The sequence below is a fragment of the Homo sapiens genome, chromosome 2, assembly GCF_000001405.40.
Source record: "Homo sapiens chromosome 2, GRCh38.p14 Primary Assembly".
NCBI lineage: Eukaryota > Metazoa > Chordata > Mammalia > Primates > Hominidae > Homo > Homo sapiens.
The window spans coordinates 137,976,644-137,999,099 of record NC_000002.12 but is presented as its reverse complement, the minus strand read 5'-3'; the positions used below and the strand labels follow the sequence as shown (position 1 = coordinate 137,999,099).

The window sequence follows — 22,456 nt, the reverse complement described above, 5'->3', positions numbered from 1 at the left end:
ATGTTTATTCTTCTAACTCATTCAACTAAGAAGTAGAAAGATCACAAATGCTAAAAAGACATGAAAAGCCTTTTATTCTTCTGTTCAGCAACTATTCTGAAGGGAAAAAAAGACAACTAAGACAAAAGGCTGGTAAGAATAGCTGTGGGCTAATGGGAAATAGATTCCAGCTTGCCCCCAAAAGACTAGAGACCAAAATTTTCTGTTCTTGCCTCATATTAACCTAGCCATACATTTTAAATGAAAAATTATCAATTATGAGGATCTCAAATTCGACATTTTGAAAAAGATAACTGAAATGCAATTATATCCCCTCAGGGCTTGATGAGCTCTCCTCCAAAGATGGACCTTGACATTTCAGGTTGGCCTGGTTGGCAAAATATATCTAGCACAGTCTGGGACATGTTCAGAGCCAGGCAGTCCCTCTCCCTGGGGCACTGATAGAGGACACAATGCTAGAATCACAATTGACATATGGAAACCATTGGTTTGCATAACAGCCTCTAGAGTATAAGCTCATGTGTGCTGGATTCCTGACAAAAATAAATTAAGTTTAAGAAGAGGTGATAATGCAACTATTTCCTTAAGAGTCAATTAGAACGTAAAATCTATTTCTGACCTCATAAGTAGGGTGACCATACTTGTTTGTCAGGGACATTTCCATTTTATACCTGTTGACTTAGTGTCCATCTGCTTTCGTTTTTTGGTCCTAACTTGTTCATTTTTAATAAAATATCATTAGCAGAATTTTAGTTTTGGAAGTAGTTTTTAAAAAAGAACATTTCATAAATTTACTAATATGAGAAATTTGTTCAATGCATACAAATTTCAAAAATTATAATAATTTTAATTATTTTACCTACTCTTTCCAACTAATTCTCTAAAGTACCCTACATTGGACAATAAATAATACCACTGTGCTCATAGGCGATTACATTCTGTGCTTTTTTTTATTTCTTCTGAGAAAGAATGGAATATATATGCAGAATGTACAGGTTTGTTACATAGGTATACATGCACCATGGTGGTTTGCTGCACCTATTGACCTGTCTTCTGTGTTCCCTCCCCTCAACCCCAACCCCCAACAGGCCCTGGTGTCTGTTGCTCCCCGCTCTGTGTCCATGTGCTCTCATCGTTCAACTGCCACTTATGAATGAGAACATGCGGTATTTGGTTCTCTGTTCCTGTTAGTTTGCTGAGGATGATGGCTCCCAGCATCATCCATGTCCCTGTGAAGGACATGAACTCATTCTTTTTTATGGCTTTACAGTATAACATGGTGTATATGCACATTTTCTTTATCCAGTCTATCACCGATGGGCATTTGGGTTGGTTCCATGACTTTGCTATTGTAAATAGTGCTGCAGTGAGCATACATATGCATGTGTCTTTATAGTAGAATGATTTATATTCCTTTGGGTATATACCCAGCAATCCCATTGCTGGGTCAAATGGTATTTCTGGTTCTAAATTCTTGAGGAATCTCCATACTGTCTTCCACAATGGTTGAACTAATTGACATTCCCACCAACAATGTAAAAGTGCTCCTATCTCTCCACGGCTTTGCCAGCATCTATTGTTTCCTGATGTTTTAATAATTGCCATTCTGACTGGCATGAGATGGTATCTCATGGTGGTTTTGATTTGCATTTCTCTGATGATCAGCGATATTGAGCTTTTTTTCATATGTTTGTTGGCCACATAAATGTCTTCTTTTGAGAAGTGTCTGTTCATATCTTTTGTCCAGTTTTTGATGGGGTGGCTTTTTTTTTCTTATAAATTCATTTAAGTTCCTTGTAAATTCTGGATATTAGATCTTTGTCAGATGGGTAGAGCACAGAAATTTTATCCCATTCTGTAGGTTGCCTGTTCACTCTGATGATAGTTTCTTTTGCTGTGCAGAAGTTCTTTAGTTTAATTAGATCCCATTTGTAAATGTTGGCTTTTGTTGCAATTGCTTTTGGCATTTTTGTCATGAAGTCTTTGCCCATGCCTATGTCCTGAATGGTATTGCCTAGGTTGTCTTCTAGGGTTTTTATGGTTTTGGGTTTTACATTTAAGTCTTTAATCCATCTTGGGTTAATTTTTGTTATAAGGTGTAAGGAAGGGGTCGAGTTTCAGTTTTCTGCATATGGCTAGCCAGTTTTCCCAGCACCATTTACTGAATAGGAGATCCTTTCCCCGTTGCTTGTTTTTGTCAGGTTTGTTGAAGATCAGATGGTTGTAGGTGTGTGGTGTTATTTCTGAGGTCTCTGTTCTGTTCCATTGGTCTATATATCTGTTTTGGTACCAGTACCATGCTGTTTTGGTTACTGTAGACTTTTAGTATAGTTTGAAGTCAGGTGGCATGATGCCTCCAGCTTTGCTCCTTTTGCTTAGGATTGTCTTGGCTATATGTGGTCTTCTTTGATTACATATGAAATTTAAAATAACTTTTTCTAATTCTGTGAAGAATGTCGATGGTAGTTTGATGGGAATAGCATTGAATCTATAAATCAATTTGGGCAGTATGGTCATTTTCATAATATTGATTCTTCTTATCCATGAGGATGGAATGTTTTTCCATTTGATTGCATCCTCTCTTATATCCTTGAAAAATGCTTTGTAGATCTCCTTGAAGAGGTCCTTTGCATCCCTTGTTAGCTGTATTCCTAGGTATTTTATTCTCTTTGTAGCAACTGTGATTTGGAGTTTATTCATGATTTGGCTCTGTTTTTGTCTATTGTTGGTGTAAAGGAATGCTTGTGATTTTTGCACATTGATTTTGTATCCTAAGACTTTGCTGAAGTTGCTTATCAGTTTAAGAAGTTTTTAGGCTGAGATGATGGGGTTTTCTAAATATACAATCATGTTGTCTACAAACAGAGACAATTTGACTTCCTCTCTTCCTATTTGAATACCTTTTATTTGTTTCTATTGCTTGATTGCCCTGGCAAGAACTTCCAATACTATGTTGAATAGGAGTGGTGAGAGAGGACATCCTTGTCTTGTACTGGTTTTCAACAGGAATGCTTCCAGCTTTTGCCTATTCAATATGATATTGGTTGGGTAAGTTTGTCATACATAGCTTTCATTATTTTGAGATATGTTCCATTAATATCTAGTTTATTGAGAGTTTTTAACAAGAAGAGTAGTTTAATTTTATCAAAGGCCTTTTCTGCATCTATTGAGATAATAATGTGGTTTTTGTCTTTCGGTCTGTTTATGTGATAGATTATGTTTTTTGATTTGTGTATGTTGAACCAGCCTTGCATCCCAGGGATGAAGCTGACTTGATTGTGGTGGATAATTTTTTTTAATGTGCTGCTGAATTTGGTTTGCCAGTATTTTATTGAGGATTTTCCCATCGATATTCATCAGAGATACTGGCCTGAAGTTTCCTTTTTTTTGTTGTGTCTCTTCTTGATTTCGTTATCAGGAAGATGCTGGCTTCATAAAATGAGTTAGGGAAGAGTCCCACCTTTTCAATCATTTGTAATAGTATCTGAAGGAATGGTACCAGCTCCTCTTTGTATTTCTGGTAGGACTCAGCTGTGAATCCATCTGGTCCTGGGCTTTCTTTGGTTGGTAGGCTATTAATTACTGCCTTAATTTCAGAACTTGTTATTGGTCTATTCAGGGATTCAACTTCTTCTTGGTCTAGTCTTAGTAGGGTGTATGTGCCCAGGAATTTAACCATTTCTTCTAGAGTTTCTAGTTTATTTGTGTAGAGGTGTTTATAGTATTCTCTGATGGTAGTTTGTATTTCTGTGGGGTCAGTGGTGATATCCCCTTTATCATTTTTTATTGTGTCTATTTGATCCTTCTCTCTTTTCTCCTTTATTAGTCTAGCTAGCAATCTATTTTGTTAATTTTTTCAAAAAACCAGCTCCTGGACTCATTGATTTTTTTTTTGGAGGGTTTTTGGGTCTCTATCTCCTTTAATTCTTCTCTGATCATAGTTATTTCTAGTCTTCTGCCAGCTTTTGGATTCATTTGTTCTTGCCTCTATAACTCTTTTAATTGTGATGTTAGGGTGTCAACTTGAGATCTTCAGGCTTTCTGATGGGGGCATTTAAGTGCTATAAATTTCCCTCTTAACACTGCTTTAGTTGTGTCCCAGAGATTCTGGTATGTTGTCTCTTTGTTCTTGTTGGTTTCAAAGAACTTCTTGATCTCTGCTTTAATTTCATTATTTACCCAGGAGTCATTCAGGAGCAGGTTGTTCAATTTCCATGTAATTATGTGGTTTTGAGTGAGTTTCTTAATCCTGAGTTCTAATTTGATTGCACTGTGGTCTGAGAGACTGTTATGATTTCAGTTCTTTTGCATTTGCTAAGGAGTGTTTTATTTCCAATTATGTCGTAGATTTTAGAATAAGTGCCAAGTGGCATTGCGAAGAATGTATATTCTGTTGATTTGGGGTACAGAGGTTTGTAGATGTCTACTAGGTCCACTTGATCCAGATCTGAGTTCAAGTCTTGAATATCCTTATTAATTTTCTGTCTCATTGATCTAATACTGACAGTGGGGTGTTAAAATCTCCCACTATTATTGTCTGGGAGTATACCTCTCTTTGTAGGTCTCTAAAAACTTGTTTTATGAATCTGGGTGCTCTTGTATAGGGTGCATATATATTTAGAATAGTTAGCTCTTCTTGTTGAATTGTTCCCTTTACCTTATGTAATGCCCTTGTCTTTTTTGATCTTTGTTGGTTTAAAGTCTGTTTTGTCAGAGACTAGGATTTCAACCCCTGCTTATTTTTTGCTTTCCATTTGCTTGGTAAATTTTCCTCCATCCCCTTATTTTGAGCCTATGCATGTCTTTGCACATGAGATGGGTCTCCTGAATACAGCACACTGATGGGTGATGGGTCTTGACTCTTTATCCGATTTGTCAGACTGTGTCTTTTAATTGGGACATTTAGCTCATTTACATTTAAGGTTAGTATCATTATGTGTGAATTTGACCCTACCATCATGCTGCTATTTGTTTATTTTGTACACTAGTTGTTGCAGTTTCTTCATAGTGTCATTGGTCTTTATATTTTGATGTGTTTTTGCAGTGGCTGCTCCTGGCTTTTCCTTTCCATCTTTAGTGCTTCCTTCAGGAGCTCTTGCAGGGCAGGCCTGGTAACAACAAAATTCCTCAGCATTTGCTTGTCTGGAAAGGATTTTATTTCTCCTTTGCTTATGAAGCTAGTTTGGCTGGATATGAAATTCTAGGTTGAATTTTTTTTTTCTTTAAGAATGTTGAATATTGGCCCCCAATCTTTTCTGGCTTGTAGAGTTTCTGCTGAGAGGTCTGTCAGTCTGATGGGTTTCCCTTTGTAGGTGACCTGGCTTTTCTCTTTGGCTGCCCTTAACAATTTTCTTTCATTTCAATCTTCAATCTGATGATTATGTGTCTTGGGGTTGAATTTCTTGTGGAGTATCTTAATGATGTTCTCTGTTTTTCCTCAGTTTGCATGTTGGCAGTCTTGCTAGATTGAGGAAGTTCTCCTGGATAATATCCTGAAGTGTGTTTTCCAGCTTGTTTCCATTCTCTCCATCTCCTTCTTGGACTCCAATCAATTGTAGGTTTGGTCTTCTTATGAAGTCTCATATTTCTTGGAAGCTTTGTTCATTCCTTTTCATTCTTTTTTCTCTAGTCTTGTCTTCAGACTCTGATATTCTTTCTTCCACTTGGTTGATTCATCAGTTGATACTTGTGTATGCTTCAGGAAGTTCTCGTGCTGTGTTTTTCAGCTCCAACATGTTGTTTATGCTCCTCTCTAAACTGGTTATTCTAGTTAGCAATTCCTCTAACCTTTTATCAAGGTTCTTAGCTTCTTTGCATTGGGTTAGAACATGCTCCTTTAGATCAGTGTAGGTTTTTATTACCCATATTTTGAAGCCTACTTCTGTCAATTTGTCCATCTGATCCTCCCTCCAGTTCTGTTACCCCGACGGAGAAAGGTTGAAATCATTTGGAGGACAAAAGGCACTCTGACCTTTTGGGTTTTCAGCATTGTTTCATTGATTCTTTCTTGACTTCGTGAGTTTGTCTAGTTTTGGTCTTTGAGGCTGCTGACCCTTGGATGGAGTTTTTGTGGAGACTTTTTGTTGTTCTTGTTGTTGATGCTGTTGTTGTTGCTTTCTGCTTGTTTTTTTTCTTTCAATGGTTAGGTCCCTCTTCTGTAGGGCTGCTGCAGTTTGCTGGGGGTTCACTTCAGGACCTATTTATCTGATTCGCTGCTGTGCCTGGAGATGTCACTCAAAGAGGCTGGAGAACAGCAAAGATGAGTGCCTGCTTCTTCTTCTGGGACTTCTGACCTTGAGGGGCACCAGCCTGATGCCAGTAGGAGCACTCCTGTATAGGGTGTCTGACAACCTCTATTGGAGGGTCTCACCCAGTTGGGTGGCATGGGGAACAGAACCTGTTTAACACAGTGCCTCACTTGCGGGGAACCCACTTGTCTGGGCTGCCTGGATTCCTCAGAACTACCAGGAGGAAAGGCTAAGTCTGCTGGTCCACAGAGACTGCAGCCATCCCTCCCCCTAGGGACACAGGACCAGGGAGATGCAGGTTCTGTCCCTGAGCCTCTGGCTGGTGTTACTGGAGTTGGTGGGGGAAGCCTCACCCAATGAGGAAGGATGGGTCAGGGTCAGGCCTGAAGAGGCACTCTGGCCACAGACTGCAAGCAGATGTGTTGGACTGTGAGGGACAAGTCTTGGGACCAAGCCGTCCAGCCTCCCTGTCTCCAACAGAGGAAAAGCACAGCCTGGGGCTATAGAGATGGATGCCTCCCTTCCCCTGCCCAGGGAGCTTTGTGTTAGGCAGATGCAAATCCCAGTACTGGCTGCTGCTCCTCCCACAAGGAGCTCAAATAGCTTTGACAGCAGGCAGCCACACCCAGTTCTGGTCACCCCTCCCTCCAGGAGTTCCGTAGGCTTAAGCAGATTCCTTCCAACCGAGAAGCTAAGAGTCTGTGCATTCCTGGGTTGGGACGCTAGTCCCTGGTGGTGTGGGTTCACGAGTGGGATCTTCCAATCTGTGGGTTGCACAATTCTGTGGAAAAAGCACGCTCACCCATTGCCTCCCTTGGCTGGGGGGGAGGGGGCTCCCCCACTCCATGTGGCTCTCATGTGGGCTGCCACACCACACTGTTCTTCTTTCTCTCCGTGGGTCACACCAACCTCCTAGTCAGTTCTGATGAGAGAACCTGGATGCCTTGGTTGCTGGTGAAGTATTCACAAGCTTATGTTTTTTTTCAATGGGGGCCTCCAAACGCTGCTGTTTCTAGTCGGCCATCTTGGCCCCGCCCTGTGTTATTTTTATAATAAGTATAGTATTTCTTATTGTGATATATATGTAATAAATAATACAATTATCTACTTCTATATCTAGCTATATAAATATCTACTTCTATCTATTTACATACATATATGTATCTTTATAGAAATGTGTGTATATGCATAGATCGATATATGTGTGTGATATTATTTTATATATCTATATGTTTTTATCTATGGCTCCTGGCTTATGATTCCCATAGCCCTTGTTAATAGTCTTTTATTATAATTTTATGGTGCTTTTGGCCTCAGGAGCAGACCTCAGAAAACCTTTCACCTATACAAGGCAGGACTATAACGTGTTTCCACCTTTGTGATTGAGGGTCATAAGACCTCATTTCAGAGGAGGTCCTGTCCCATATCCTAGAGGAATTAATGCTGCACAGAGAGATCAAGAAGAATCTGAACAGATAGGCCTCACTGGGTTTTCCCACTCAGCCTATCAGCATTAGATTATAACCTTTTCATCCAATCACATTACTACATGGTTGTCCATGCTTCAGTCATGCCTATCCAATGAAGTTTTCATAAAAGGCCCAAGAGAACAGGATTTGAAGAGCTTCCAGATAGTGAACATGTGTAGGATCCTGGCAGGTGGCATATCCAGGCAGAGCATGAAAGCTCTGTGTACCTTCTCTCATACCTTACCCTATGCATCTCTTCATCTGTAGCCTTTGTAACATCCTTTATCATAAACCAGCAAATTAAGCCAGTTTCCCTGAGTTCTGTGAACCACTTTAGTAAATTAATCAAACCCAAAGAGGGGTTGTGGAAACCTCAACTTGAAGCTGGCTACTGAGAAATTCTGGAGGCCCAAACTTGCAACTGGTGTCTGAAAGGGGACAGTTTTGTGGGACTGAGCCCTCAACCTGTGGGATCTGACATTATTTTCAGGGAGACAGCATCAGAATTGAATTGAATTGGAAGATACCTGGAAGTATCTGCTGCTTGGTGTTGGGAGAAAAAAAAAACTCATGCATTTGGTCACAGAAGTCTTCTGTGTTGATTGTTGTGGTGTGAGAGCAGAGGAAAAAGTTTGAGTTTTTCCCTCAGAACATATACATATGTATGTACATATAAATATGTGTGGGTATATATACATATCCATAAGATATAAAATCATAAAATAAAATATTCCTTGACATTGTATTCTACATGATTTGCTTTTCAGTATCCCTCAGAAATAGCAGACATGTATTTTTAAAAAATAATTTATACCCATAATCTGCAATATAATATGGAAAGAGAAGAATAAAGTTGGAGAACCGACACTATCTGACTTCAAGACTTACTATAAAGCTATATGAATCAAAACAGCCTGGTAATGGCAAAAGAATAGACAGATAGATCAGTGGAACAGAATAGAGAGACCAGAAATAGACCCACATAAATATAGTGAATTGATCTTTGACAAGGGAGCAAAGGCAATACAATGGAGCAAAGATAGTCTTTTCAACAAATGGTGCTGCAACAACTGGATACCCACCTGCAAAAAAATGAATCTAGACAAGGACCTTACATCCTTCACAAAAATTAACTCAAAATGAATCATAGAACTATGTGTAAAACATAAAACTGTAAAATTCCTAAAATATAACACAGAGGAAAACCTAGATGACCTTGGGTACGGCGATGACTTTTTAAATAGAAACCAAAGGCATAATCTATGAAATAAGTAATTAATAAGCTGAACTTTATTAAAATTAAAAACTTCTGCTCTACAAAAGAAAATGTCAAGAGAATGAGATGACAAGCATGAAAGAAAATAATTGAAAAGAGCATATCTGATAAAGGATTACTATCCAAAATATACAAAGAACTCTTAAAGCTCAACGATAAGAAAACAACCAGCCCAATTAACAATTGGGCCAAAGACCTAAACACCTCACCAAAGAAGATATACAGATGACAGATAAATATATAAAGAGATATTTCATATCATATGCCATCAATGAAATGCAAATTAAAACATTAACAAAATACCATTACACACCTGGAAGGGCCAAAATCCAGAGCACTAATGACAACAAATGCTGGGAAAGATATGGAGCAACAGGAACTCTCATTCGCTGCTGGTGGGAAAGGTAACTTTGGGTCCACTTTGGAATACAGTTTGGCAGTTTCTTAAAAGACGAAGCATAACCTTACCATATGATTCAGTAATCAAGCTCCTTGGTTTCTACCCAAAGGAGTTGAAAACTTACAGTCACACAAAAATCTGCACATAGATGTTTATTAGCTTTATTCATAATTGCCAAAGCTTGGAAGTAACCAAGATGTGTCCTTCAGCATATAAACTGATAAGTAAAAGAACAAACAAACAAAGAATCTGTGGTACATGCAGACAATAGAATATCATTCAGTACAAGAAAGAAATGAGTTACTAAGCCATGAAAAGACATGGAAGAAACTTAAATGCATATTACTATCTGAACGGAGCCAATATGAAAAGGTTACATGCTGTGTGATTTCAACTAGATGACATTCTGGAAAAGACAAAATTATGGAAACAGTGAAAAGATCAGTGGTTGCCAGGGGCTGAGGGGTGGATGTGAAGGGGTGGAGCATAGATGATTTCGGGGACAGTAAAACTACTCTGTATAATACTGTAATGGTGGATACATGTCTTTATACATTTGTTTAAACCCGTGGAATACAACACCAAAAGGAAACCCTAAAGTAAACTATGAGCTTCTAGTAATTATATGTCAATGGATGTTTATAAATTGTAGCAGATTGTAATTCTGGGAGGGAATATATATATAATGGGGAGACAATGCATGCTTGAGAGCAGGGGTTGTATGGAAAATCTCTGTACCTTGCTGTCAATTTATCTGCAAACCCTAAACTTCCTTTAAAAAACCTTTCTTTAAAATAAAACAACAATGACAAAAATATTTATTTTTATTTTTTTGAAACAGTCTTGCTCTGTTGCCCAGGCTGGAGTGCAGTGGTGCAATCTCGGCTCACTACAACCTCTGCCTCCCAGGTTCAAGCGATTCTCCTGCCTCACCCTCCCAAGTAGCTGGGATTACAGACACGTACCACCATGCCAGGCTAATTTTCATATTTTTAGTAGAGACGGGGTTTCACCATATTGGCCAGGCTGGTCTCGAACTCTTGACCTCAAGTGATCTGCCTACCTTGGCCTCCCAAAGTGCTGGGATTACAGGCGTGAGTAACCACGTCCGGCCAACAAAAAGATGTATATAATCCTCTTGCCTGTTTAAAAAAAAGGGGGGTCAATAGTTCAGATCTGTCATATTATAGTCTTGTTTAACCATTTAACATTTAGTTTTAAAGTATTATCTTTTCTTGAAACATTCACCCATGCTGTTTGCTATCCATCATCACTCAAAGTTTCTTCTTCCTTTATCTTCCTTTCCTGGCCATCAAGAAGTTTACTTTCTCAATTCTGTCCCTACTAGCTGTGCTCTTATTCAGGTCAAGATTATTCACATTTGGAATACTGCAATAATATCCTAAAAGGTCAGCCTACCTCTGGTCTTGTATTCCTCAAAGCACTTACCATGATAACCATTTTAAACCCTGCTAAGCAAACCTATCACTTCCCTGCTTAAAATCTTCTAGTGACTATAAAATGGATGAAGGTCAAGCTTCTCCACTAAACATAGACTATCTGGCCTGGTCCTTATTCTCATCACTCACAGTTTTATATTCTGAATTTTGCGGCTCCAGGAGCCCTGAATTGCTTGCATTCTACCCTCTTTCCTTTACGTACCATCCTCTCCCATGCTTTCTCCTCTGCCTAAAAAGGTCTCCCTCACTTCTTCACTTCAGCTGGCTAACTCCTACACATCTAAAACTCTACCACTCATAGCTGGTAATCTTAGTGGTCTTTCCCACAGAGCCCAGAAGCAGCATGAGAATCTTCCAGACACTAACTACCCATCAATTGACTGGAGTTGGCAACACAGATAAAACACACTTGTCTTTCCTGATCTAAATTATTGCTCTTCTTCATTTATATGATGTACTAGCAAAGGCTTGCTTCCAACAAGTTTGTTAAAAAGAACTAAGGATACTTAAATGCTGGATTGAATAACTGAGCTGATTTGATCATTAATCTTTGCAGGCATATGAGGGGTTACTATACCCTATAGAACCATAAGCCATCAGTATAAGAGATTCAAAGTAAAAAAAAAAAAAAAAAAAAAAAAAAAAGTGGCCATTGTCCTTTCTAACTGAATCCTTCAGAGCAGGACCCACAATGTTATGACTATGTTCCAGAATCAGGTATGGAATGCCTTACAAATGCTTTCAGAGAGAACACAAGCCAAACTAATGTGTCAAAATAATGGCAGAAAGTAAACTAGACTTGAGTCAAATAATTCAGAAATTCTCAACAAATTCAGGGGTAAGTGAAAAAAATGTGGAAGCAGCAATCTACTTTTATTGTACATTGCAAAACTTTCTAGGAATCTTAAACTTGAGATCCAGAAAATGGCATTTAAGGGGAGTAGGGCAATACATGCTCAGTTTATAGTCAGTCTCTTCCCACATGTGACCTCTCATGACCATTGCTTGGTCATAACTCTGATGATTGAAGGCTACTTATTTTTGACCCCCTAAGGCCTTTAGATACATACACACCAACAGCTGTTTGGGTTAACAAAAGCCCTATTAAGAAATGACATTAAATGTTTCTCCCTAAAGAAACAAAGGCTACAGCATTTTCTGTGACAAATAGAGAAATAATTTTGATGATTAAACAAACTCTATTCAAACATATCATAGTATTTTCTTTCTTTTTTTCTTTTCTCCCCTTCTGTGAATAGCAAGGCAAATTAATGATTTTTCATTCTGTGCTTGTGATGATGATGTAACTGATTTTCTCAATTGATCCCTTGTGTGTAATTTTAGCAAAGCTGGGCAAATCCAAGTATGTATCAGCATAAATCAATGGGATACACAGCACTTCATTTCAATATACAATGTTTAGAAAGATATGCACCAAATTCAAATCAAGAGTTATCTAATGGCGATAGAATTATAGCTTATTTTTAATTCTCTTTTTTTATCTATAATTTGAAATGTTTCTATAAAAATTTATTCAAATTAATTATTTTCGAAGTGTTTATCTTCCAATTAGAAAACCTTTCTGTGATGGTTACTTTTATGTGTCATCTCTACTGGGCCATGGAGTGCTCAGACATTTGGATAAACATGATTCTGGGTGTGTCTGTCAGGGCATTTTTGGATGAGATTAATGTTTGAATTGGTAGACTGAGTAAAGCAGACTGCCCTCCCTCATCCAATCAATCCAAGACCAGAAGAGAACAGCTTGAGCTGGAACTGGTCATTTCTGGCCTTCAGACTCAGACTGAAATATCAGCCTTTGTTGAGTCTCAAGCCTTCAGGCCTGCTGGCTTTGAGACTAGAACTTACACCATGGGCTCTCCTGGGTCTCCAGCCTACCGACTGCAGATCTTGGGACTTGTCAGCCTTCATAATCATATAAGCTAATTCCTTATTTTACATATTAAGGTATATATATATAAATTGTATTTATATTATATATATATAATCTCGTTGGTTCTGTTTCTCTAGAGAACCCTGACTAATTACTACAGGTCTAAATTTTTTCTTTTATTATTTTGTATGCAAGTGACTATTCCAAGGCATTTATCAACATATATAAAACAACTCAAATTAACAACAATTTGGCCTTTAGCTTACTGTAATCATTTAACCTCTCTACGCTAATTACCATATTTACCACTAACACTAGTACCACATTTACCATTATGTATCTAATTAAACATTTTTATTTAATTTTAATTTTATTTTATTTTTTGAGATGGAGTCTCGCTCTGTCGCCCAGGCTGGAGTGCAGTGGTGTGATTTTGGCTCACTGCAAGCTCTGCCTCCTGGGTTCAAGGATACTTTATAATGCAAGTTGTTCTCTTACATCCTGGAGGCTTACATTTGGTTTTGTAAAATCACGTGTATTTGATTTTAAAAGGCATTGCTGTATTATAGTAAATGTTAGTATACTGAAGATGTGACTATACCTTATATCATATATGAACTTTATCTGGTGACTCAAAGAACTGGTCTTCTGAGTGGGAGACTGTCTGTTCTGGGCAAGTGCACTAGTAAAAGAGGCTACAAAATGAAATTTTTATTGCTTAAAAAATATGGATAAGTAGGTAGACAGCTGGTTAGACGGATGCATGAATGCATAGACAGACTCACAGACTGCTACTAGTAAGATAGTTACTTGGATGACTAGAAGAATAAAAGTATGTAGGAAAGAGAGAAGTCACAACTTGGAAAAATAGGTTTTCTAGGTGCTCTGCTGTTACATTTAAAAAAGCATGTTTAAAGGGTAGGATGTGAAGATAGGCTGCAAGGAAATCCCTAACAAAAGCTCTACCAACCCTCTACGCTTTAGCTAGCACATTATGTGAAATCCTATTCTTAGGACACGGCTTTAAATTAGACATACACTTCCACTTGCATTGTTGATGGACATACATTTCTGCTATTTGAGATCCCAAGGCAGTCAAGGGATGGAGTTAGAGCAGTTTTATACATTCTTAATCTTTTTTTTTTTTTTTAGTTTCGGTTCCTGTGGCACTGCCTTTAGCACACACCAATTTTGTCCATGCACGTTTTAGGCAGATAGTGAGAAGCTGAGAGTCTTACGTGTCATGTCTCTTCTATCTTAAACTGGTCTGTCATTATAAAATTATAATCCTAGTTTGCTACTATTCAAAGGCAGAGAATAGAACTTCATGACATGATTGCTGGTATGTCAAATGTTTTATTAATCACATAATGATTATAATTAACTCATGCCAGCCCTAGCCAAATGGCCCAATCTTTTTATTTATCCTTATAGTGCTACCAGAATTCTGCATGCTTTTCATAGGGTATTTAAATCTCTCCTGAACTCATTTGCTCATCTACAAAATGGGAAAATATAACTCACAGTCACTCCTTACATCATATGGTAACTTTTAAAAAATGTTATTTTTATGATTTTTTTAAGTTTAATTTCCCTATGTCAAACTTACCAACAATCTTCGACTGTAAAATCAGGACAACTGATTAATATAGTTAATTACCTCAAAAACTTAATTCCAATATTTACTTAGTGTTCAGATTTCGAGATAACCAACAAGTATCAAAAATCAAAGCCTGAGACTAATTTGGGAATTTTGCATGCTATAATGTCTTTCTTTCAATCATACATCCACTAAGGATCCATTATATGCCAGGAAATGCCCACTGTTGGGCTTATAGAGATAATTTCTTAAAAAGTTAATAGGCACATTGACATTGCTCAAACTCATTAATAATCAAAGAGATGAAAATTAAAATGGCAATACAATATCACCTGATGCTTGTTGGACTTGCAAAACATCAGAAAGCTAAAGAATGCTAAGTGATGTCAGGGATATTCAGATAGAGAAACTTCATCCAGGCCACTGAGAATATAGACTGGAGCAGCCACTATGGGGACTAATTTGGTAATACTTATTCGTATTAAATATATGCATAACCTACGACCCAGGAGTTCTGAATTGAGAATGTAATAAAAATGCATAATCCAAAGAAATTCTCACATGGGTGGATAAGGAGATACTGAACCACGTTCACTACAGCATTGCTTGGGATAGAAGGGAGTTAGATGGAAAGTTATAAGGCAGAAAAATTGTGGTGGATGCACAACACTCAGTATTCTGTAACAGTCAGAATCCATAGATCAGATCAATACTTAGCAATACGGTAATCTTCAGGGTATAGTACTCCATGACAATGCAAGAAAGAGTAATATATTGAGGGAAACCAGAATAGGTCACCTCGACATCTGCCTCTTTGACAAGAAAATTGTTTTTGAGCTAAAGGCAATTAAGAAGCAGCAAATGGAAGGAAAATTTTCCCTATCCTCCTACTCTTCTGCCTAAGGGCAGGTTATAAATTCTCCTTTACTGGAGACAACTCTAAACTCTTACCGTCCCAGAGACAGCACCAGAGGAATCTGCAAACAAACTTACTCATATTTTCCACCCATATATTTACCTTCCCACAGTTTCCCTCCCTTGGAAGCCTAAAATAATTTTCCTTTGTCCTGTCATTTCCCCACAAATTTATTGTTTTTTGTTGAAGATGCTCTATGAGCCAGAGTTCCAAACCACTACTTCGAGTTACTTTTCCTTGGAGTGTATCCTGTATGATGAGCACTGCACGTTAATAAACGTGTTTGTTTCCCTCTTATTAATCTATCTTTTGTTATAGGGACCCATCCCAGCTAAGAATTCATGAGGGTTGAGGGGGAATTTTTTTTTGTTCCCTACAATATATATTGTATACACTATATGTATATTGTATAAAAATATACAATAGGAGAATAAAAATGTACAGATTGGTAATCGGAAACATAAAACACATTAAGTGCAATAAATTACAACAATGGTATAATGGAATTCTTCAGGGCAAACAGTGAAAATACAAAAGCAGAGTTAGTGACTGTAGTGAGGACAGGGGAGGCTGAGTCCAAGAAGAAGAGCAGGAAATACTTTGTGGAGGATGTGGAGGATATACCCCTTGGGCAAGTCTGTGTATTCTACTGTTAACTGTCTTCCTGGTTTTGGGTCACTTACTTTGGACTACTTTAGGCTCTAGAACTTTCTCTATAATGAGCAACTACATAGGTTCTGCATGATATTTATGGATGAGGCTTTGGGATAATAGGAAAAAATCATGCGCTTCAGGAAAAATCCAACCTGGGCTTGGAGATCGGCTCCACCGTCTATTACTTGATGAAATGCATCTTAAACCATCTGAGCCTCAAAATATCTGAACCTCAGCTCTTTCATTTTTAAAGGAAGTCCCCACAGAGTTTCCATTAGAATAAAATGTGATTACATATGTCAAGTGGCTAGCAAAGTGTCTGGAAAATAATAAGCCTTCATAACACTTAGCCCCTCTATGATTCAGCTTCCAAAATAGCACTTAGGCAGTTTATGTTATTACAGCATATAAAGGGAAAGAAAACACTTTTTATTAAGCAATATCGATGAGCAAATTTTTGGAAGCTAGCTGGCTATACATTGCTTAAAAATTCAATAAATTTTAGTTTAATGAAAACTTGTTTTCTAATCAGCTGAATTGTGGATTTTTTTCTTCACTCCTGTGTAATTTCCTACCAAACAGAATATGCTGGCTTTCTGATTTGGGAAGTTAATGAAAACTGAATTATTAAAAATCTCCTTCTCTGTAAATCTCAATTTTTGGTACCACCGTGTCCCTCAGATCTGCCACAGATATAGAATTAATTCCCATGTTTCCATTCTGGGCTATGTTGAGTATTTTACTTAATTTTAAAGTCAGATATGTTTGTGGTTATAATATCCTGCTTTCACACAAGCTGTATGTTAAATGCATCACACTTACATTCAATGAAGGGCATGTAATTGAGATCTCTGAATGTGGAACTTGTTAAGTTCAAAAACAAAGAAAAGCAGTGTCTCATTTTCCAGACACCTATTCTCCACTCCCTGAAGTTCAAGGATACGTTTAATAAGATAGCAGAGGAATGTTGCATTTTTTAAAATCCAAAGGCATTTAATTTAAAATGGAAAAAAATCGTGAAAAGAAAAAATTAAGGCTGGGCGCAGTGGCTCCTGCCTGTAATCCCAGCACTTCGGGAGGCCTAGGCTGGTGGATCACTTGAGGCCAGGAGTTCGTGACCAGCCTGGCCAACATGGTGAAATCTCTACTAAAAATACAAAAATTATCTGGGCGTGGTGGCGTGAGCCTGTAATCTCAGCTACTCGGGTGGCTGAGGCACAAGAATCACATGAGCCTGAGAGACGGAGGTTGCAGTGAGCCTAGATCGCGGCACTGCACTCCAACCTGGGTGACAGAGAAAGACTCTGTTTCAAAATAGTGATAATAATAATAAGAAGAAGCCTGTAGAGAGACAAAAGAACGCAAATTTCTTATTCACTAGAATTATCCTATGCAAATGTGTGGGTCTCTCTGTCCTTTAAATTGCATATGTGTAAAATGGGTATAACATGGTTTATGTTATAGGGTTAGAGGTGTTGTAAAGATTACAGGCATTATATGGAGATAATTTACCACAGTTCATGATATATAGTAATTACTCAAGAAAGTGAAGTTATTATACATTACTTCAACAAATATTATTGAGCACCCACTAAATGTCAGGTTCTAACCATTGGAGACGTAGCAGTGAATAAAACAGGCAAAAACACCTAATTTTACGGATGGTGGGAAGTCCCACGGAGAAAACCAAAGCAACAAAGAAAGGGGAAGCTGCGGTGTGAAGACTTTGCAATTTTCAACTGTGTGATCTAGTAGGCTTCATGGAAAAGATGACACTTAAAAGAGGATGAAGGAAACTAGGAATGAGGGAAATGCAGATTTGCTTTCTAAACGGGCAGCTCCAAATGGCAACTCAGAAGAGCGCTCATCATGGATCCTCATGCCTGGCTTGTCTTTCTGACGGGTGCTACACAAAATGAAACACGAATTCCGCTTGAGAACCCTGGAGCTTCCCCGAATGAGACAATCTGCAGGTCAAGAAAATAGGGGATTAAAGACTGTGGCCATATCTCCTGCCATTCGATTTCAGCCTATCCCTGCTTCTTTTCTCATATCAAAATATATATTATCAGCAGGAAAAATTTAATTCTATTACATGTTGCATTAAGATTATTATCATTTTTGTTCCCTCTACTAGAATATCAGGCAGAAAAAAAATGGTTTCTAGGAAGAGCGATTGCTCATATAACTCCGTGCTTGGAGATGAAAAATAATTTCAGGTGTGGGTTTGCAGCCAGAGAAAGAACAATCTGATTGTGAACTGCAATATGAAAGACAGAAGATTCCTGACAAGATCCTTTCTTTTCTTTACTTCTCTTTTTCTCTCTCTATCTCCCTCCAACACCCTGGGTACCTCAGTATTAAAGCAGTTCTGTCTATATGAAAATATGAGTATAAAATATTAAAATAGCTGTAGAGTTTCAAGAAGGGGGTTATAAATATAAATTCTTAGTCAAAAGGGTGTTGCCATTTGTTTTCATGTGTCTTCTGGTTCTTGGCCCAGGAAATCTACTGCCTGAGGGTTTTGCAACATCAGGAAGTCTAAGAAAAGTCATGCAACCAAAATGTTCTACAAAACACAAACTTAGAGAAAATGCTTCAAAGGGTGCTGAAGACTGAAATGTACAGATATTTGATGGAAAACTCAGAAAAGATACAACAAATACCTCAAGAAACAGAGGATAGCCACCATTCTCTTGATCAGCATCATCCTCACTGTCCTCAGAGCTGAAGTATACTCGGTGCTAGGCACTGAGAATCTATAGGCTCTGAAGAAAAGCTCTGCTAATCTACAACATAGCTGGGATTGCTCTTTAAATATTTGCACAGGTATAAAACTGTTACAGGACCGGGCATGGTGGCTCACGCCTGTAATCCCAGCACTTTGGGAGGCCGAGATGGGAGGATCATGAGGTCAGGAGATCGAGACCATCCTGGCTAACACAGTGAAACCCCGTCTCTACTAAAAAATATTTAAAAATTAGCTGGGTGTGGTGGCTGACGCCTGTAGTCCCAGCTACTGGGGAGGGCGAGGCAGGAGAATGGCATGAACCTGGGTGGTGGAGCTTGCAGTGAGCTGAGATCGTGCCACTGCACTCCAGCCTGGGTGACAGAGGGAGACTCTGTCTCAAAAAAAAAAAAAAAACCTGTTACAGGTGAATCAAAATCTTCTGAAGAAAAACTGTCAGGAAAACACACTTGTGGGAGCAGTGCTTTGGGCTTCAGCTGTTTAGCTGAAGGAGATGAAGGAGAGGCCGGAGGTCTAGTCCTTACCATCATCTCTCGTATATAAAATTATAGTTTTGTTTTTTTCTCTCTCTGGCTAAAAATTAATAATGCAGAAAACTCAGGACATAGAGAAAGGTAAAAAGTAGAAAAGAAACATCTCACTGCTTCCTAAACTTTTATTTTTCTCCATTGATCAAATCAATTTTTTTCTTAGTCTATCTAGGTGAGATTATTATGTATATAAATTATTTTGCCTTTCTCTTGAGTGTTAAACTATGAATATATCAAAATTTATTTTAATGTGTTATTTGTAGTGGCTATACTATATTCTCTTAAATGGACATGTGAAATAATTCATTTAATTATTAATCTTTCATATATAATATAAATAAAATAAAAGTATGGCCGGGCGTGGTGGCTCACGCCTATAATCCCAGCACTTTGGGAGGCCAAGGTGGGTGGATCACGAGGTCAGGAGATCGAGACCATCTTGGCTAACAGGGTGAAACCCCGTCTCTACTAAAAACGTGGTGATGGGCGCCTGTAGTCCCAGCTACGCGGGAGGCTGAGGCAGGAGAATGGCGTGAACCCGGGAGGCGGAGCTTGCAGTGAGCCGAGATCACACCACTGCACTCCAGCCTGGGCGACAGAGCAAGACTCCGTCTCAAAATAAATAAATAAATAAATAAAAGTATACATTTATGTAAAATTCATTTATATTTGTATTTATATATACTTTATATATGGAAATATATATGGATATATTTTATATGTGAATATATAATTTTACATATAGTTTGTCTTATATAACATAAATTATACTTTATATATTATGTACTATATATAACACATAATATATATAACTATACTATAAACATATATGAACTATGCTATATATTATACAATTTACTATTATAGTATGCCTATATAGTATATTATATAAGAATATTATATAATGTATTACCAATTATATATATTATATATTACTTATTATATGTAATATAATAGATTACCTATTTTATGTATACTACCTATTATAATTATGTAATATGGAGTATACTTTATACTATTTATTATATAAGACTATTATATAATACTAAATTATATAATTATACTATATTACATAATTATAAAGTATTATATAATACTATATTACATAATTATAAAGTATTATATAATACTATATTATATAATCATATGTATTGTATAATACTATATTATATAATCATATGTATTGTATAATACTATATTATCTAATCATATGTATTGTATAATACTATATTATCTAATCATATGTATTGTATAATACTATATTATCTAATCATATGTATTGTATAATACTATATTATATCATATGTATTGTATAATACTATATTATCTAGTCATATGTATTGTATAATACTATATTATCTAATCATATGTATTGTATAATACTATATTATATAATCATATGTATTGTATAATACTATATTATCTAATCATATGTATTGTATAATACTATATTATCTAATCATATGTATTGTATATAATACTATATTATATAATCATATGTATTGTATAATACTATATTATATAATCATATGTATTGTATAATACTATATTATATAATCATATATTATATAATTATGTAATATTATATTACAGTTAATATATACATACATAACTGTAGTATAGTTAATATATACGTATATAAATATACTTAAAATTCACTATCGTTGGTCTCATATATAGTTTTAGATATTTTGGTATTGTGAGGAGACTGAAAATGAGCCATAAATTTTTGTGCAAAAATCTTACTTTTTTAAGTTAATTTCCATAATGGGAATTAATGATTGGAATAAGACTCTTGATCTCTGATGATATTTTTAAAAACAGTGATAAACAACAATAACAACCACCACAAAAAGCTCAAGTCCAAGGGTGGCAGGTGCTCAGAAAGGATGCAGGCTGAGGAACTGTAGCACAGTCCTAGCAGCCCTCCTGGACTGGCAAGGCCAGGCCAATTGCTGGAGCCCTGGAGATGGGGGGTGGGGAGGCAAGGTGGGATATCCAGGAGAAAGCACTGAAGCAGTATCTGGGGCTGTGATAATATGGAAGAAGAGTAGCTGTTTATCAAGAATTTCAATATTTTTAACAACCAGCAGGGCCAGGCCAGGGCATATTAGATGAAAATCAGAACTGTTCTTGCTATATAATGCCAAATTACTTTCAGGGAAATTTTAATTTCATACCTTTACCTTTTGCACATGAAAACTTCCATATCACTGTAACCTCATCAGTATTATATGTTATTAGCTTTTTAAGTCTTTTTGAATTATTCTTAGCAAACATTTGAACTTTTCTTTAAATTTTTTATATTTTGAATAAAATATATTATTAGCTAATTAACCAAATATTTTTTCGTCGTTTCTCTCAGATTGTTATTGTTAATAGAGATCAAGCTGAAGGAGACCCAAGGAATTGATCTCAATCCCTGCAACCCCCCCAATCCCCTTCAGGCATATATTATTAGGTTCACTATCTATAAAATGAAGATAACAACAAGTCACCTACACCAGAGTTGCATGACTGTGTATATTAAATTGCAAAGTTTTATACAGCATGACTGTCAGGAGGAAACTTATTCACTGATTAAGAGATTGCAGACCAAAATGGCACAAAAACTGGCAAGATACAAATTTGCCCTTCAGCAAAATTACAGATAAACACATGCCATGGACTTTTATGTAGATTGTAAATAATCAAAATTGGGAATGGAAAACACTCAAACGTTAACAACAACAAAACAAAATAAGAACCTAACATACTGCTTTTTTTCTATTTTACCTGTTTAAGCCCATTGCTGCATTCTTATTAATTATAAGGCTTTAGAACTAAGTTTATTTGCTTTTGTAAGTATACAGTCATTTAATCTGCAATGATAGTTTTGTCCTCACTTGGTTCATTATCCCTTGTTTTGCTGTTTCTAACCTTATTGAATTAGCCAAAACAATCTTGTTTACTCTGCTTTTAATGACAATCACTCCAGTGTTCTAACACTATGCTCCCTTCTCTTGAATCTGTAACTTATCTGTCTTTAACAATAGCTCAATGCTCACTGAAAGTTTTAAATACAATACAATGGGGTAAGCTATTTTGGTAAAATTATTTATGAAGAATACTTTATTTTTTAATCATATATTTAACAAATGCCTTTAATAAAATGATGCCCCAAACTATAACTGTGTTTATGTAAAGTAGTTCTAAATCTTGTAGATTAGTTTATGATTATAATCTATATCCTTCTGGTAAAGGAGTTAACTGCTATGATG

General features: G+C 36.8%; 1 protein-coding gene across 5 annotated transcripts in view; it reads right to left on the bottom strand.

Annotated features, from left to right (window-relative positions):
• Nucleotides 1-22,456, bottom strand: part of HNMT (histamine N-methyltransferase) — a 51,892-nt gene that overhangs the window by 17,265 nt on the left and 12,171 nt on the right. The window contains exon 3 of one of the 5 annotated variants that reach the window (NM_001024075.3): nucleotides 17,476-17,884. The exons of the other annotated variants lie outside the window; for them this stretch is intronic. Within the exon in view, the coding sequence (NP_001019246.1) occupies nucleotides 17,694-17,884 (191 nt within the window). The 3' untranslated portion in view covers nucleotides 17,476-17,693. Of the gene's footprint in view, nucleotides 1-17,475; nucleotides 17,885-22,456 lie in introns of those variants that run through there. 5 annotated transcript variants of the gene reach the window in all.